Here is a 16,604-nt window from a genome sequence, read left to right on the forward strand (position 1 = left end):
ACAAAAGGTCTTGCTCTGTCACTCTTTAACTTTTATTTTTTTTTCAAGCCATTCAAATGTAATAGTGGGTTTTTGTTGTTGTTGTTGTTGTTGTTTAAAGAAAGAGGGCTGGGTGCGGTGGCTCACACCTATAATCCCAGCACTTTGGGAGGCCAAGGTGGGTGGATCACTTGAGGCCAGGAGTTGGAGACCTGCCTGGCCAACATGGTGAAACACCGTGTCTACTAAAAATACAAAAATTGCATACCTGTAATCCCAGCTACTTGGGAGGCTGAGGCACAAGAATCAATTGAACCTGGGAGGCGAAGGCTGCAATGAGCTGAGATTATGCCACTGCCTTCCAGCCTGGGTGACACAGTGAGAGGAAAGAAAGAAAGAGAGAGAGAGAGGAAGAAAAAGAAAGAAAGAAACTATGCTCTCTTCAGTGGAGCATCTCCAGTGGAGATGCTTAACTCTCATGTAATGACAACAGAATTTTCCTTTTCTTCAGAACTTGCAAAAGAATTTTGCTAGGAAGTATTTATATCCTCTAGCCAACCTTCCTTGGTAATTCTAGGCTTATACTTCCTCACTGCAGGAAAAGAGCTTGGGAAGGAATGTCTTTTGAGCAAGGAGGACCCAAACGCTCTCCTAGAAGATAAATCCCTCTCCTCCATTTCAGTATTAAACTTTCCATAAATGTGGGGCAAAGGAAGGTTTCTTTTGGATTTCTGAGCTGCAGCAATCCTCTTTTTGCGAGGGTCCTTCCATAAGAGCTTTCTTTGCCTCACGACCTTGATTACCAATAATTAATCTCAGATGAAATATTCAGTGCTACAGGCTTCCTCTGTCTTTGACTTAGAGAACATGCTGAGAATAGTTTGTTTGCTTGCTTGCCAAAGATCTTATCTTGACCTGGAAGAGCTGATAGGATCATAAAACCAGCATTGATCTTTCCTCAGTATTCTTTCTCTACAAAGTGAGGGGGTATGACATCTTAGCCCAGGACAAATGTGAGGTTTAATATACATCAGGAGGAGAAGAGGGGAAGAGGTTGATTGTCATTCAATAACGGCTATATTTCATAGTCATAAAATTTAAAGAACTCTGTAGTGTGTTCTAATCCCCATGCTTTCTTTGCTCTTTCTCAATGTATTTGGATAAATCACTACAGAGCAACAAAGCCAAAATGTCCAAACCACCCACTTTCCTATTCCCAGCACATGAATTAGAGGGAGCCAGCTGAGATCTGGGCCAACCACTTAGATGACTTGCATGTCTGATTTTTGTTCCATGATATGAAACTCAGAATAAATCAAAAAGAAAAATTTTTTCAGATAGCAGCTAATTCACACAAAAAAATCTTCAGCCTTTTAGTCCTTGCATATATGCAATGCTGATAAACAAACCTACTCTGCACACAGATAACAAGGATTTAGAAGTTAATTCCTACCGGCACAAACAAATACTCATGTATAGCAGTCTTACTGAACTTCCGTGTTCAGTTTTAGGCTGTAAAACTTGAGTGAAATCTGAAGAACTTTTTAAGGTCCAAAAGGAATTGAGAAAGACTTGGAAAACAGGACCTTTGAAGAAAGCTTACAGGAGACAGAATTCGAGCTTAGAAAACAATGCATGTGATCGAAAAGAAATGTGAATAGCAAAGATAGAATAAGAGGAAATTAATATAAATGGTAGAGGAGGCTAGTTTTGAGGCTAAGGGTAAACTTTCTGACTGAAACTTGTTAAACCCAAAAATGAACAGCCAGGCCAGGCACGGTGGCTCACGCCTATAATCCCAGCACTTTGGGAGGCTGAGGCGGGCAGATCACTTGAGGTCAGGGGTTCAAGACCAGCCTGGCCAACATGGTGAAACCCTGTCTCTACTTAAAAAAAAAAAAAAAATAGTAGCTGGGTGTCGTGGCGGGTGCCTGTAATCCCAGCTTCTTGAGAGGCTGAAGCAGGAGAATTGCTTGAACCTGGGAGGCGGAGGTTGCAGGGAGCTGTAATTGTGCCACTGCATTCCAGCCTGGGGCAACAGAGCAGGACTCCGTCTCAAAAAAAAAAAAAAAAAAAAAAAGAACAGCCAAATGAATGTTTGTAGAGCTCAAGCTACAAAGATATGGAGGTTGTAGTAAGTTCACTTAGTGCATGAAGTAGCGTTTTTGGATACAGATGTTTACAGATAAAGATGTTTAACAGCAGTATCTCCCTAATACCACAGACCTGATATTCCAAGCAATTGGCAGAGAAATGAATCCATTCAGCACAAATTTGGCCCCTCTACATGGCCACAGCACCTTAGATTTGGTTCACTTAACAGAAGAACAGTATGTTCTGTTTAGAAGCAGGACCCGATCCCAGGATAGGGTGAACTGCATAAACGGAGGCTCAATGAGAAATGATAAAAGTCTAAGAGGTTCTAGAAAAGAGAAATCTTTTTCTGGGCCTCATTACCAGTTATAGACATTTTTAGAAAAGGAGGGGGAGAATAGATGCAGAACGCGTCTAAAAATGAACAAAGATATGTTAATTTTAAGAATGGAGGTTGTTTACAGGGAGAGTAAATTGGTTTGTATAATTAGATTGATCCAAAAATTACCTTGCCTTTATAAAATACCTTTCTGTTAAGAAGATACAACGTTTTCTCTTGCCAGATAAAGGCAGAGTCTCTTCCTTTTGTAAAAGAACATCACCAAATTACAAGGAAGTTTAAGTCACACTTTGAGTTGCTGACAAACCTAGGACAAACCCCCAGGTTTTCTCCTTTTGGCTAGCCTATATACTGGTGCAGAGCCATTCTTGCATCAATGTGAAACATTTATTTTTTGCCTGGGCTTCTGTTTTAACGATTGACCTTCATCTCTCCTGTCCTGTAGCTGGGATGAAAGCAGCTCCATCAGTAGTGGACTCAGCGATGCCTCAGACAATCTCAGTTCAGAAGAATTCAATGCCAGCTCCTCACTCAACTCCCTCCCAAGTACTCCCACTGCTTCTCGCAGGAACTCAACAATAGTGGTACGTGAGTTTGCAAACACCCAAGCTGCCATCTCAAGATGAACCACAGGGCAAATGGCATTATCTGTGTATGGGGTTGCACGTACACACCCACTCCATGGGATTGGTTCTCATAGGCCTTTGGCCAGGTCATTTTAGAGTTGCCCCCACCCCCTCCCAAAAAAAGCTAAGGCTACTCACCCAAGACATTAGATGTTGTCATATTGTGTATACTTAGTGCCTACACCAATCTAGAGTGATACATGTAAGAGCTATTCCAACTGGAGAAAAAGAAACCCCGAGATATATGTCATCTGCTGTTGGAAACCCTAGGGGTATAGGTAGAAACCCTCAGTTTGACTTAATACTCTGAGATGAGCAGCGCCAGGTACTAACTAAAATCAATCCTGTCAGCTATCCAGTCTCCCATCTGCATAGAAGTATCTCACTCTGCCTTTTTCTCTTTTCTTTAGCTACGCACAGACTCAGAGAAGCGCTCACTGGCAGAAAGTGGGCTGAGCTGGTTTAGTGAATCAGAGGAGAAAGCCCCTAAAAAACTGGAGTACGACAGTGGTAGCCTGAAGATGGAACCTGGGACTTCTAAGTGGCGGAGGGAGCGGCCTGAGAGCTGTGATGATTCATCCAAGGGTGGAGAACTGAAAAAGCCCATCAGCCTGGGCCACCCTGGTTCCCTGAAGAAGGGCAAGACCCCACCTGTGGCTGTAACTTCCCCCATCACTCACACAGCCCAGAGTGCCCTCAAAGTCGCAGGTGAGCCTGGAATAAAGGAAGGTACAAGGGCAAAGACCTAGTTCTTTGGTTGCTCCTCTTCTTAGTGGTCATTAACCCATAGGATGATAGCAAACATTTGCATAGTGCTTTAACAGACATTATCTTATCTGGTCTAAGGACAGTCCCGTGAGTTAGGAAAGATGGGTGTTATTATTTCCATTTTACAAATGTGGAGGAAATAGAAACTCAAAGAGATTAAGTGGCTGGGCCAAAATCCCAGTTAATATGAGGTACAGGAGGAAGTATATTATGTTTAGAGACTAGTTTGGCCTCCTTCCAAACACTTCCAATGCTTGCTTTCTTCTTTCTCCCAAGTTAGTCACTCAAGGCACTTATTTTCATAGGATACAGCTTGACATCTCAGGAAGATCCTAAGAAAACAATAAATAAAATGGCTACAGCAAGAGAATTATAGTGCCCCCAAAGTTGGCCCCTTGGGTAACTTTTAGCCTTAATCAACATTTTCCTGTAGTCTCTAATTACTAAGAGATATTGTCATACTCTATTCCATTTGCTTCCCCACCTTTTTTTTCCCTTCCACAACTAGTTGTTAGATGGATATTCTTGATCATCTTTGTGTTTGCCTCTGCCTTTTTAATCAAAATGGACCATTCTACTCTGGGAGCAAAACAAAAAAAATTCCTAGCCTCCCCACCCCTCCCAGCCAGAGTCTTTCAGACAAGAAACTTTATCAGCTTATCTTGTACCTGTTTACCCAAATTTAGGCCTCTAAAAGTCTACAATACATGGACAATGTTCCCTTCTCCCATGGAGGGAAAGAAAAGGGTGGGTTTTTAAGATACTGGTCAGTTTCAGCTCTTTTCTCATTTCCCGTCCTCTTGCAGGCAAACCTGAGGGCAAAGCTACAGACAAGGGTAAGCTTGCAGTGAAGAATACTGGGCTCCAACGCTCCTCCTCTGATGCTGGTCGGGACCGCCTGAGTGATGCTAAGAAGCCCCCCTCGGGCATTGCTCGCCCCTCCACTTCGGGATCCTTTGGCTACAAGAAGCCTCCTCCTGCCACAGGCACAGCCACTGTCATGCAAACTGGTGGTTCAGCCACTCTCAGCAAGATCCAGAAGTCCTCAGGCATCCCTGTCAAGCCAGTAAATGGGCGCAAGACTAGCTTAGATGTTTCCAACAGTGCAGAGCCAGGATTCCTGGCTCCTGGAGCCCGTTCTAACATCCAGTACCGCAGCCTGCCCCGGCCAGCCAAGTCAAGTTCTATGAGCGTGACCGGCGGGCGGGGTGGACCTCGCCCTGTGAGCAGCAGCATTGACCCCAGTCTCCTCAGCACCAAGCAGGGAGGCCTTACGCCTTCCAGACTGAAGGAGCCTACCAAGGTAGCCAGTGGGCGGACCACTCCAGCCCCTGTCAATCAGACAGATCGGGAAAAGGAGAAGGCCAAAGCCAAGGCAGTGGCCTTGGACTCAGACAACATCTCCTTGAAGAGTATTGGCTCCCCAGAAAGTACTCCCAAGAACCAAGCAAGCCACCCCACAGCCACCAAGCTGGCAGAGCTGCCACCAACCCCTCTCAGGTACCCAATGTGGGCAGCCGCCTCCTTGTCTGTTTGCTTTGTCATTCTTTCGCATATCTCTGCCCTCCTTGGACTAGATGAGGCATGGCCTATCCACCGTTGTCTCTAGGCCTTTGCATGGCTCTTTCCCACCTCTCCCCCATATGCCAAGGTTCTGAAAGAATCTAGTTTCTGACAGTTCTGAAAGACTGAATCCCTCTTTCAAAACTTACCTCATTTGTACTATTCTCTGATCAATGCTTACCCTGTCTTCAGCACTTGTATGGGTGTTTTTACTGTTTATTTACACATATATACCTATTTGCATAAATTCACTTGTATCTCCCATGTGCATATGCTGGCCCCTTATCTAAGCTGAATGTGCCCCAAGTTGGGTATCAGATTTCCTTGCATTGTATTTCACAACAGCATTAGGATAAGCCTCTGTGCTTAGCAAATAGGCAGAAAACAAGACTGGATAGGATTTCTTTAAGGTCCTATCTGCCTCTCACTCTGTAATTCTATTATTCTAAATATTTCGTTTGATCTTCTCTCAGGGCCACAGCGAAGAGCTTTGTCAAACCACCCTCACTAGCCAATCTTGACAAGGTCAACTCCAACAGTCTGGATCTACCATCATCCAGTGATACCACCCATGCTTCAAAGGTCCCAGATCTGCATGCTACAAGCTCAGCATCTGGGGGCCCTCTCCCTTCCTGCTTCACCCCCAGTCCGGCACCCATCCTCAATATTAACTCAGCCAGCTTCTCCCAGGGCCTGGAGCTAATGAGTGGTTTCAGTGTGCCAAAAGAGACCCGCATGTACCCCAAACTCTCAGGCCTGCACAGGAGCATGGAGTCCCTCCAGATGCCAATGAGCCTCCCCAGTGCCTTCCCCAGCAGTACTCCCGTCCCCACCCCACCTGCTCCCCCTGCTGCTCCCACAGAAGAAGAGACGGAAGAGCTGACTTGGAGTGGAAGCCCCAGAGCTGGGCAACTGGACAGGTAGGTAGAAAAGACAGCAGAACCTCGGCCTGTCTCCGTGTCTTGGGCTCATTTTGCCATTGGCAATACTATCCTATATTTTATTGCCATTTTGTGACTTTTGACATTTTTTCACATATATTAAGTAATTTAATTTGCTTCACAACAACTCCATGAGATAGGTAAGATGTGTTTTTGTTTTTAAATTATTATTCTTATATTAAAAATGAAGAAACTTGTGCACAAAGAAGTTAAATGACTCATCCAAGATCTCATAATTAGGTTAACCTATCATCCAGAGCTTTTGCTTCCTAGTCCAAAATCATTTTGTTTTGTTTTGTTTGAGATGGAGTTTTGCTCTTGTTGCCCAGGCTGGAGTGCAGTGGTGCAGTCTTGGCTCACTGCAATCTCTGCCTCCCAGGTTCAAGCAGTTCTCCTGCTTCAGCCTGCTAAGTAGCTGGGATTACAGGCACTTGCCACCATGCACGGCTAATTTTTGTATTTTTAGTAGAGACCAGGTTTCACCATGTTGGCCAGGCTGGTCTTGAACTCCTGACCTCAAGTGATCTGCCTACATCAGCTTCCCAAAGTGCTGGGATTACAGGCATGAGCCACCACACCTGGCTGCCCAGAATCTTTTCTTTTATATCACATCCTAGTTTTCCCCTCCCTTCCCCCTATATGCCAAGGTTATCAAACTACCTATATGGTAGTTTTTACCTACCATAATACGATCTATTTTTTTTTTTTTTTTGAGATGGGGTCTCACTATGTTGCCCAGACTGGACTCAAAACTCCTTGGCTTAAGCAATCCTCCTGCCTCAGCCTCCCGGGAGCTGCAACTACAGGCTCATGCCACTGTCCCTAGTGCCATAATATGATCTTTTAAATAACTAACTATGCCTTAATTTCTTTTTTGTTTGTTTGTTTTTTGTTGTTGTTGTTGTTGTTTTGAGACGGAGTCTTGCTCTGTCGCCCAGGCTGGAGTGCAGTGGCGCGATCTTGGCTCACTTGCAAGTTCCACCTCCTGGGTTCATGCCATTCTCCTGCCTCAGCCTCCCGAGTAGCTGGGGACTACAGGCGCCCACCACTGCGTCTGGCTAATTTTTTGTATTTTTAGTAGAGACGAGGTTTCACCGTGTTAGCCAGGATGGTCTCGATCTCCCGACCTCGTGATCCACCCGCCTTGGCCTGCCAAAGTGCTGGGATTACAGGCGTGAGCTACGGCGCCCGGCCTAACCATGACTTAATTTCTAATCAGAGAAATAACATTTAATATTTCAGATAAATTTCCCAAGTTGTAAGCCAAGAAGCAGGCTATAGTATCTCTTGGTTTCTAGAGCTAAAGCAGGTCATAGTTTGATGTCCTGCGTCTAGGGTCTGCATACCTCACACCAATGGTCCTAAACTCTAGTTCCTAAGATGGACCCACATGCTTCTCTCTCTCTCTCTTTTTTTTTTTTTTTTTATCTCCACAGTAATCAGCGGGATCGGAACACTCTTCCCAAGAAAGGGCTCAGGTAACCCTTTAATGTGTTTTTTCTTCCCTATAAATGGGACTGCTGGTATGTATGAAAAATCATATCTCAACCTGTCCAAGGCTCCAGTCATGAATTTAGTCACCCTTTTAGCTGAATCATTTGTATGTGGTCCCATACAAGTACCACCTAGTACCTTGCCCAAGCTTAATATTATGTGAGTCAACTTTTACAGCAAGTGTTCTTTTTTTGGTGACAGGGGAGAAACAAGTTTGCACATGGGAATCATGCACTTACCTGTACTAGCCTATGCCATCCCAATCCTGGCTGAGCTTCATCTCTGTAATTTTCTTCCCTAAAAGTATGAGGGAGAACAGTCTGCTTCTTTGGTCACTCAGCTGGGCTAGGGGCAGGACCTACCTGGTCATCCACTGTTCTGACAGCACTGAGTTGTTCAGTTGGGTGGCAACTATTGCAACTTTTTTTTTTTTTTTTTTTTTTGAGACGGAGTCTCGCTCTGTCACCCAGGCTGGAGTGCAGTGGCACAATCTCAGCTCACTGCAACCTCCACCTCCCAGATTCAAGCGATTCTCCTGCCTCAGCCTCCCGAGTAGCTGGGGTTATAGGTGTGCACCACCAAGCCTGGCTAAATTTTGTATTTTTAGTAGAGATGGGGTTTCACCATGTTGGCCAGGCTGGTCTCAAACTCCTGACCTCAAGTGATCCACCCACCTCAGCCTCCCAAAGTGCTGGGATTACAGGCATGAGCCACTGTGCCTGACCGACTCTTGCAACTTGAAAGCCCACATGTGGAATCATAAGTCTCTGTCCTGAACTTCTGAGGAGAAGTTCTAATGCCTCCTCCATCACTTCTGCCCCCAGCTCAGGAACCCTTACGGGAATACCTGCTAGTCCTTCCACACCCTCTGGATGGTCTGGGAGAGGAGGCTGAGTCGCCACCTCTTACTCCCTCCTTGGGCAGCCCTGACCACTCCCTCTTTTCCATGTCCTGCTTTCAGAATCTCCTGGCTCCAGCCTAGTTCAGACACCCTCCGCACCAACTAAACCTCTGACCGCACTTGCTAGTCCCAGACTGAGTTCTTCTGCTGCTTCCTACAGGTACCAGCTTCAGTCCCAGGAGGAGACCAAGGAGAGGCGACATTCCCATACCATTGGTGGGCTGCCTGAATCCGATGACCAGTCAGAGCTGCCTTCTCCCCCTGCACTTCCCATGTCTCTGAGTGCAAAGGGCCAACTTACCAACATAGGTTAGTGTTTTCAGTCACTCACTGTGGCATGGGGTGAAGCAGGGGTCACCCTGCAGGGTGAGGCAAGGCAGGTGGGCTTTGGGTTTCATCTCATGTTTGACTCATGCTGTATTGGGTTGTTTCATGGTGCCTCAGTTTATCCACCCAAAGTAAGATTGAAGGTAGAGTACTTTGAGATCCTAAACTGAAAAGTTGCCCCTAGGCACAAGTTGTAGGGTCCTTTTAGCATCAGAGAGCCTGAATGGTGGCATGGAAAAGCTGTAACCCAAAGCCCAGAGATCAGACCAGTGCAAGAGCAGGCACATTGAACTGCCGGAAAGGAGCCACCACACCCAGTACTACTAGGGCCAGCTAATGAGAGGGCAATACTGAAATGTCAGGCCGACGGGGAGGAAGGAGGGAAAGGTTGTTGATTGCCAAGGACGAGATCTGCCTCCAAACTCAGCCAAGTCCAGATTCCTCAACTGCTCTGGCTGAGCCCAGGCCATCCTAACGCTGAAGGCAGGGCTGACTCAGATGTGTCCTGGCCACCCCCTTCCTAAAGCCTAGGGAGAAAGGAGAGCTAGGAAATAAGGAAGTGACTTAGAGACAGGGAGGAGAGGAAGCATCAGGTGGAGGGTCTGGCCTAGCACAGAAGCACACCAGCTCCGGTTCTGTGAAGCAGTACGCCATGATTGGCCTACTAGGAATCCATTCAGGAATAGTGCCTGGGATAGGCCTGTTATCTGCTTGCTGCATCTCTTTAAATCCATCTCTTCTTTCAGCTGAGTAAAAGAAATCAGTTAATAAAAGACAAGGACCTGTAACACACCCATGCAGTGACTGTGGGGAATTTGAGGAAAGACTAGGAATTGGGATCACTTGGCCTAGGGAAAAGAACCATTGTTCAGACAGGATCATCTGCCCTCTGAAGGGCTACTAAATGGAGGATGGGGCCAGCTTGTTCTCTATCTCCATTGAAGACCAAATAAGAAGAATTGCATTTATGCTGCAGAATGAGGGGCTGGGCTAAGCAATAATTACCTCAGGAATTTGAAAAGGTCAACAGAGAGGTGTGCCATCTTCTTCTGCACAGGTCTTTATGGACAGATTAGACATCCACCTGCCTGTATGGAGGCAGAAGAATAGACAAGGGAGCTCCTTGTGGGTATGAAACCCTGAAAGGCTGTAATCCCAGCAATGGGCAAAGGGGTAAGGCATCTGCAGGTTAACGGGATTCAGCTGAACCCAGCTTCAAAGCACATTCCACAAGCCTTACCTGACACTTTCACCTGCTCTGTCCATCTGACCTTCAAGCCGGGGCAATGCTAGGCAAAGAGGGCCATGTTTCTTGATGCTTTAGCGCCAACCCAGTCACTCAGAGTGACACTACTTTGTGGGGAGATTCTCACGCCCTTCCACAATGCCAGGGCAACGGGATCCCGTAGCCCAGCCCCCTTCTCTAGCTGGTGCTTTTTCATCATTCAGATCTGGGTCTTGGTTTGAATTTTCAGTCCTCCTGAGCTGGCAGTTGTGTTTTAGAGAACCACAGCATCTCATTTTCATCAGCACATCCGAGTGATGTGAAGGTCTCAGAAAAGCTGCCAGGCCCCCAGCCTAACCTTCAAAAGCAACAACTCTGAGGCAGGCAGGGTTGAGGGAAGGTCTTTATTCCAGACAGCAGGGTCCTTCTCCATTAGGGCTTGATCTCCCCAGGAGGGACCCCGCTCCTAACCACCAGCTGCTTGCACACTCCCACCACCGCACCTGCCCCTTCCTCTCCTGCCCTCTCCCCATTTGCCTCTCATGCTCCCGGTGCTCCATCCCCCAAGGGCCCGGAGAGCTGATGACCCTGCCTCTTTTCCTGCCCTCCTGCTCCCTCTCCTGTCCCCCTTCCCTCTGTCCTTCCAGTGAGTCCCACTGCGGCCACCACGCCAAGAATCACCCGCTCCAACAGCATCCCCACCCACGAGGCGGCCTTCGAGCTGTACAGCGGCTCCCAAATGGGGAGCACCCTGTCCCTGGCCGAGAGACCCAAGGGAATGATTCGGTCAGGATCCTTCCGAGACCCCACGGACGATGGTGAGACTTCATGCTAGCGCGGTTCACGCTCATTCCAGCTCTGCTGGGTCCCCTCACCCACCACCTCCACTCCCACCACTCCTACCACCACACACATATATGATTCACAGAACATCAAGTTGGGCCATTTCAGTTTTTTCTCCCCATCCCTTTGAAGGGTCTGGGGACCCAGAAACCTTGGGTGGCACATCTAGCACTGGGGCATTGGGATGGAGCATCCATCACTGGGGCTGGGGGAGGGAAATTGAGCATGGAAGGGTTAAATGGCATCCCTCAGGATGCTCTGAAAACCACAGCTTCTCTCCTCCTCATTCTAGCCATAGTCTTTCCTCCCCACAGTCTCTCAAATATATGAAAAGAAAACAGGACATAATAGTAGCTCTTAATAAATCCTTACAAATAATTAGGCATCTCATTTCTCTTTCAAAAATGTTCCAAAGATGAGCATCAGGGAGGGCCATCTGATTGTTGGTGGTGATCTGGGTGTTAGTACTGATCAGAGCTAGAAGACCAGGCTTATGGCAGGTTAGCTCTCCCATTATTATTTTCAAGATGGTCATTCCAGGAGGCATCTGCTACAGACATGCTTTAGTTCTCACCATAGGTTCTACTGAATAATCAGAATGCATATTCCTCACTTAAATATTGTTTTCATCTGAATGATCCCCAAGATCCTAAGCACATCCCCCAGTGCTGAGAGGAGGAGGCGCGGGCAGAATTTCAGTATTTGTTCTGAGCAACTCTGATGAGAAACTCCCCTCTCCTGCGGCTAAGGTGCTTTCCTGACTGGGAAGATAAGATGATGACTATCCATGAAAGTCTCCTTTCCCTTCTCTGAAACCCCGTGCCCCTCAGAGCGGGCTAAGCAAGGGACTGCCATACCCAGGCTGCCAGAGAATGTAGGCTGAAAGAGGAGGCTAGCTTGACTCAAGACCTTGCTTTGGGCTGTTTTGATACCAGCTGGGTTCCCTACTCTGTTCTTTCTGTTTGCTCCAGATGCCCTCCAGAATCACAATCCAAACTCCTGCCTTAGGGAGTCTTCCAAAAACCCCTTGTCCCTGGAACCCACTGTTAACTCTTTGTGTTCTCCTTCTCTTTCAGTTCACGGCTCAGTGCTGTCCCTGGCCTCCAGTGCCTCCTCCACCTACTCCTCAGTAAGAGCATTAACTTCTCTTCCCCTCTCATCCCCTCCCCTCTACCATCCCATGCTCCCTAGAACCTCCTTGGAGTTGGGTAACTGGGCGGGGGATGGGGGCACTGCTGGCTCTTCACTGTACCCATTGGGGTGGGAATGGGGGAGGCACCTAGAGCTTGTAGCATTCACTTGGGTGCCTCAGGTCCTCAGTGGTCTTTCTGGCCCCACCACCAGCTCCTGAGCAACTCTGGTGATTTTTGTTCCCCTCCTTTGAAAAATGGAGAATCCCCATGTTAGCAAGCCCTTTCTGTGCCATGGTAGATGGGAAGCTTTTATGAAGGTGAGATGAATAGATTTCTAGGACCCGGACTCCAGAACCCTAGAAGTGACCAAGTGTTTATTGTGGGGCACCAGCCACAGCATTTGGCTATTAGGCATTTCTTGATTTGTAGATTTGTTTTGCTCCTAATTCTTTACTCCAAGTTGCTGGCAATAACCGTTAGTTCTCAAACCAACCAAAGTCTCATTTCCTAGCCTTTTTGGCAATGACAAAGTTTGCTGGAGATGAGCTCCAAAGAAATCTTTTATTGAAACCCTAGTATAGATCTGAGCCGAGTCCTGTGAGGAGCCAGGGCCAGGAAACAAGAGTTTCAGCCTCTCTGCACCTCTGAGTCATGCTTCTTCACATTTCCTACCCTGCCACTGGGACCTGACTTCTTCACCTCCATAGTAACTACTTCCTTTCTCTCTCTTTCTCTCCTTCTGTGCTCCCTTCTTCAGGCTGAGGAGAGGATGCAATCTGAGGTAGGGTGGAAAGCCTTTGTCTCTGCTTGTTAACATCACTGCACCTCATTTTCCTTCCAAATCTTATACAGCTTCTGCAGCCAGTAGTTTGTATTTCTCTTCCTTTTACAGCAAATCCGGAAGCTTCGTAGGGAACTGGAATCATCCCAGGAAAAAGTGGCCACCTTGACGTCTCAGCTTTCTGCCAATGTGAGTGCCATGAAGTACGGAAAGATCAAGGCAGTTATTTTGACTATCGTTAGACAAGTTCAGCCAAGGGAGGAAAACTACCTGGTAAGGTATCCCCTGGACTGAGACGTCAAGGGCATGCGTCTTCTTCACAGCTCTATGATAGAAGACGAGGGGATTGTTCTTCCCCTTCTCTGAGCCTCAACTTTTATGAAGAACCATTTTGCTTCTACTCTAATTAATAGGTATGGATGAGTTCATGTCTGATGGGCTGAGCTCCCTAGAGAAAGAGAAGAAGATTGATTACCAGTGGTTCTGCATGGAGGCAGAAACAACCTTGCCATTGGCCATGGACAAAAGCAGTTATGGATTATAATTATAGGGCTCTTAGAGCCTTTCCACTGCCCTGGGGGGTGTTCATGTCTTTGTTCATGCCACGTAACTGTGCAGGCACATGATTGGTCATTAGAATTCTGTCTAGTGACCACGACACTACTGAGAAACCTAACTCCCATTCTGGTCTGACTCCTTCATTCCCAACTGCCTTTTCTGAGCAGTCTCCTTGGGCAGATGGTAGAAACAATCTGAAATTCAGGTTGAGAGCTAGAATTCTTTGTTTCTACTCTCAGTACCTCCATTTAGAACGAGTCTATTTCTTTAGACCTTAGTTTTTCTACCCTGTGACATGGGGAGAAATGAAGCCACCTCCTCTAACCAGGCTGTGGTACTTTCTCCCCTGTGACTGAGTTGCAAACAGAGAACATAAGAGCCATTTTCCCCCAAAGCTGTAAACAACAGCTGAGCCGGATCTGCAGGAGCTTTCCAAGTGTTTGCACAAAAGTAACCATGTCTGCAATTTCCGCAGTAGTTTCTGGTTTTCTCTCTGCCCTTCCTCTCTGGGGAACCCAGCTGTCAGGCCTGGGGTCTATCCGTCGGAATTAGGTAGAAGAATCTCCACCAAGATTCTGAATGTTTCCAACACATTTCAGCAGCAGTTCCCTCACCACACTAGTTATTCTCTCGATTCTCTTTTCCCAAACCCTCAATTCATAAGTTGTACCAGTTTGTTTGAAGCTCATGTTAAGCACTTTTTCCCACTCTTGGGGGACCCATAAGAATTGTAACATAAACAAGAACCATCTTTTCTCTCCCTTGTGCCACACCCACCAAAGCAAATGGCCTGGGTCACGTCCTGCACACCCCAGGAAATTCATGTCTGGGAGATGCTGGGGGGGAGAGGCGCCAGGGAGGCAGAGAACATTATTATGTCTGATTCATTTACACTGCAATCTGTCAGCCACCATGCTGTCAAGGCTGGGCTGAAGCCAAGAAATTGAATTTAGAGGGTGATTTTTCTTAGAACAGGAAGTTCCATTTGGCTAAGAGAGAACAAACTAAACACCCAGACACGGTGGGTTCTGCATCTTAAAGGCAGATTTTTGCCGAGGGTCAGAACCCTGCCCTCAAGCAGGAGATGGGATGCTGGGACTCTAGGAAGGTTCCACAGCTCTCTTCAGGATTCCGTGACTCCAAACCAAACTTTTGTCATGTTCCATGGAACTTCCTAGCCACTAAAGCTGAGGGCACACCCTAGATGTAGGGGCCCAGACCACTTTACCCCTCTCAAATGCTAGCCTTTCTGCAGCACCACTGCTTAGCCCTGAGGTCTTACAGGTACCCTAGTCTGGGGTTGGGATTAAGGGAAGGGTCAATGTAGGGAGAGGAAGTGTAGGGGAGAGCGGGGAGAAAGCCCAGCCAGAGCAAAAGGGTTCCCCTGGATGGGGAAAGGCAGCACAGAAGAGCATACAGGGGTTCTTGGGGCCTCTCATGAGTAGTCTTCCAGGGACTACAAGGAGTCTACAAGCAGACATGCAGGATGTAGAGAAGCAAACCAGAGAAGACCTGAGGTCAAGAAGACAGATGTTGCCTGCACAGTGGGTGAAAGGAAACTGCTCAGGTTGTGACATATTATAATCTCCTCAGAGCCCAGGCCTTGACAGATTTATAGTAAAAGTGCAAGAGGAGGCTCTAACTGGACTAAAGGGATTGCCTCCAGCCCTGGTCCTATGAAGTAGGCTCCAGACATGCGGAGCAGTGGATGAAAACTAGAGTTGACCCAACAGGGAGGGAGAATTGTAAGCCAGTAGGAGCCATGAGAGTGCCGTCGATTTCCTAGAGCTCTGCATGAAGGAGCTGCGCAGAGTATGCCCACTTCTTGCTAGGGTCACCAACTTGCTCAGATAGTCTCACGATGGCTATTTCTCCATCCCCAAGTGCTCCCCTTTCTAGCCCCCGGCCTCATTCCCTTTACCTTGCCTATACATCTTGCAGCCAGTTGGCCAGCTAGAGGTCAAACTATGCCAAACCAAGTGGCCTTAGCTCCTCCACTGAGCACCTTTCCGAACTAGCCTGCCTCTTATCCAGAGAGCCCTTTGGTATCCTTCACTCCTCATGAAACAGACCTGACACCTAGTGGCCAAACGGTGGAATGCCTCTGCAGTTTCCTTCCAGCCTTGCAAACCTGGAGAATCCGGGAACAAGGAGCAGCTGCAAAGCAAGAAAGGGTGAAGCAGTGGAGTAGCAGAGGAGGAAGAAACGCACCAAATAGTTTCTGCCAGGAGATTATTTGGTCCCTTGGGGGCCGGCCCACTCCACAATGCAGGAGTTAAACCAAAATAATAGGAACGACCCCAGAGGCTATGGCCCGCCTACCAAGTTGGCCACACCAAATATCACATAGAGCAGAGGGATAGTCCTACCTCTGGTAGTTGATAGGTTTTAGATCTCAAGTCTCCAGGAGCCTCTGGAAACCTGCCCTACCCTCAACCTGGCTTCATTATTCAAGAAGCTGGTTCCCACCAGAAAATTTCTTTGATTTCCCCTTTGTCTGCTCAGGAAAATCAATATTTTTTTAACCACCAAGAGGTTTGCTGGCATTGGTCAGCTCCGAGATACAGGAAATCAGTTAAAACTATTTCCCATTGTCAGTTATTGCCTTTCCCCCAGCCTTATGCAACTTAGCAATCTCTTTCTGTGTTTGTTTCAGGCTAATCTGGTGGCTGCTTTTGAGCAGAGCCTGGTGAATATGACATCCCGCCTGCGACACCTGGCAGAGACGGCCGAGGAGAAGGTGAGAGGCCTGGGAAAGGGTGGGAGGGGTGGGTGCGGCGAGGGGGTTCTCCTGGACAGAGAGGCCGAAGCTGACCATCTGTTCTTGCTCATGAATGCCAGTTTCTCCCCACCTCACTGTCACCCTGGATTCTCAATCTGCCCCCCAATACAGTGTGAGCATATTCCTTATCCCAATTCCTTGCCCTTCTCTATCAAGTTTTGCAGAATTCCAATGCCTCGCCCATTGCCTGACACATCATAAGGGCTCAGGGCTCCTGCTAATCCCAACTAATGACGCTGTTTTCTTTTT

At 47.4% G+C, this 16,604-nt stretch overlaps 1 protein-coding gene and 1 long non-coding RNA gene across 10 annotated transcripts in view, besides 1 other annotated feature; one reads left to right on the plus strand and one right to left on the minus strand.

Moving 5' to 3' along the window:
• NAV1 (neuron navigator 1) overlaps positions 1-16,604 on the plus strand; it is a 287,843-nt gene that overhangs the window by 238,436 nt on the left and 32,803 nt on the right. For 4 of the 9 annotated variants that reach the window (NM_001389617.1, NM_020443.5, NM_001389611.1 and 1 more), the window contains 11 exons: positions 2,859-2,997; positions 3,450-3,747; positions 4,614-5,307; positions 5,844-6,290; positions 7,748-7,789; positions 8,867-9,015; positions 10,906-11,076; positions 12,178-12,230; positions 12,992-13,015; positions 13,127-13,204; positions 16,230-16,313. In NM_001389617.1, coding sequence (NP_001376546.1) covers positions 2,859-2,997; positions 3,450-3,747; positions 4,614-5,307; positions 5,844-6,290; positions 7,748-7,789; positions 8,867-9,015; positions 10,906-11,076; positions 12,178-12,230; positions 12,992-13,015; positions 13,127-13,204; positions 16,230-16,313 — 2,179 coding nt within the window. The remainder of the gene's footprint in view (positions 1-2,858; positions 2,998-3,449; positions 3,748-4,613; positions 5,308-5,843; positions 6,291-7,747; positions 7,790-8,866; positions 9,016-10,905; positions 11,077-12,177; positions 12,231-12,991; positions 13,016-13,126; positions 13,205-16,229; positions 16,314-16,604) is intronic. The other 5 variants (NM_001389616.1, NM_001389613.1, NM_001389615.1 and 2 more) reach the window with 3 other exon arrangements.
• IPO9-AS1 (IPO9 antisense RNA 1) overlaps positions 1-16,604 on the minus strand; it is a 141,304-nt gene that overhangs the window by 89,307 nt on the left and 35,393 nt on the right. The window lies entirely within an intron of this gene.
• Positions 10,502-11,002: an enhancer, noted in NCBI's record as "NANOG-H3K4me1 hESC enhancer chr1:201757192-201757692 (GRCh37/hg19 assembly coordinates)". NCBI's record gives its function as "activates a minimal SCP1, AML or CMV promoter by ChIP-STARR-seq in naive H9 embryonic stem cells {active_cell/tissue: H9 hESC(naive)}" and the evidence as "EXISTENCE:reporter gene assay evidence [ECO:0000049][PMID:30033119]".

Source organism: Homo sapiens, chromosome 1 (assembly GCF_000001405.40).
Source record: "Homo sapiens chromosome 1, GRCh38.p14 Primary Assembly".
Taxonomy (NCBI): domain Eukaryota; kingdom Metazoa; phylum Chordata; class Mammalia; order Primates; family Hominidae; genus Homo; species Homo sapiens.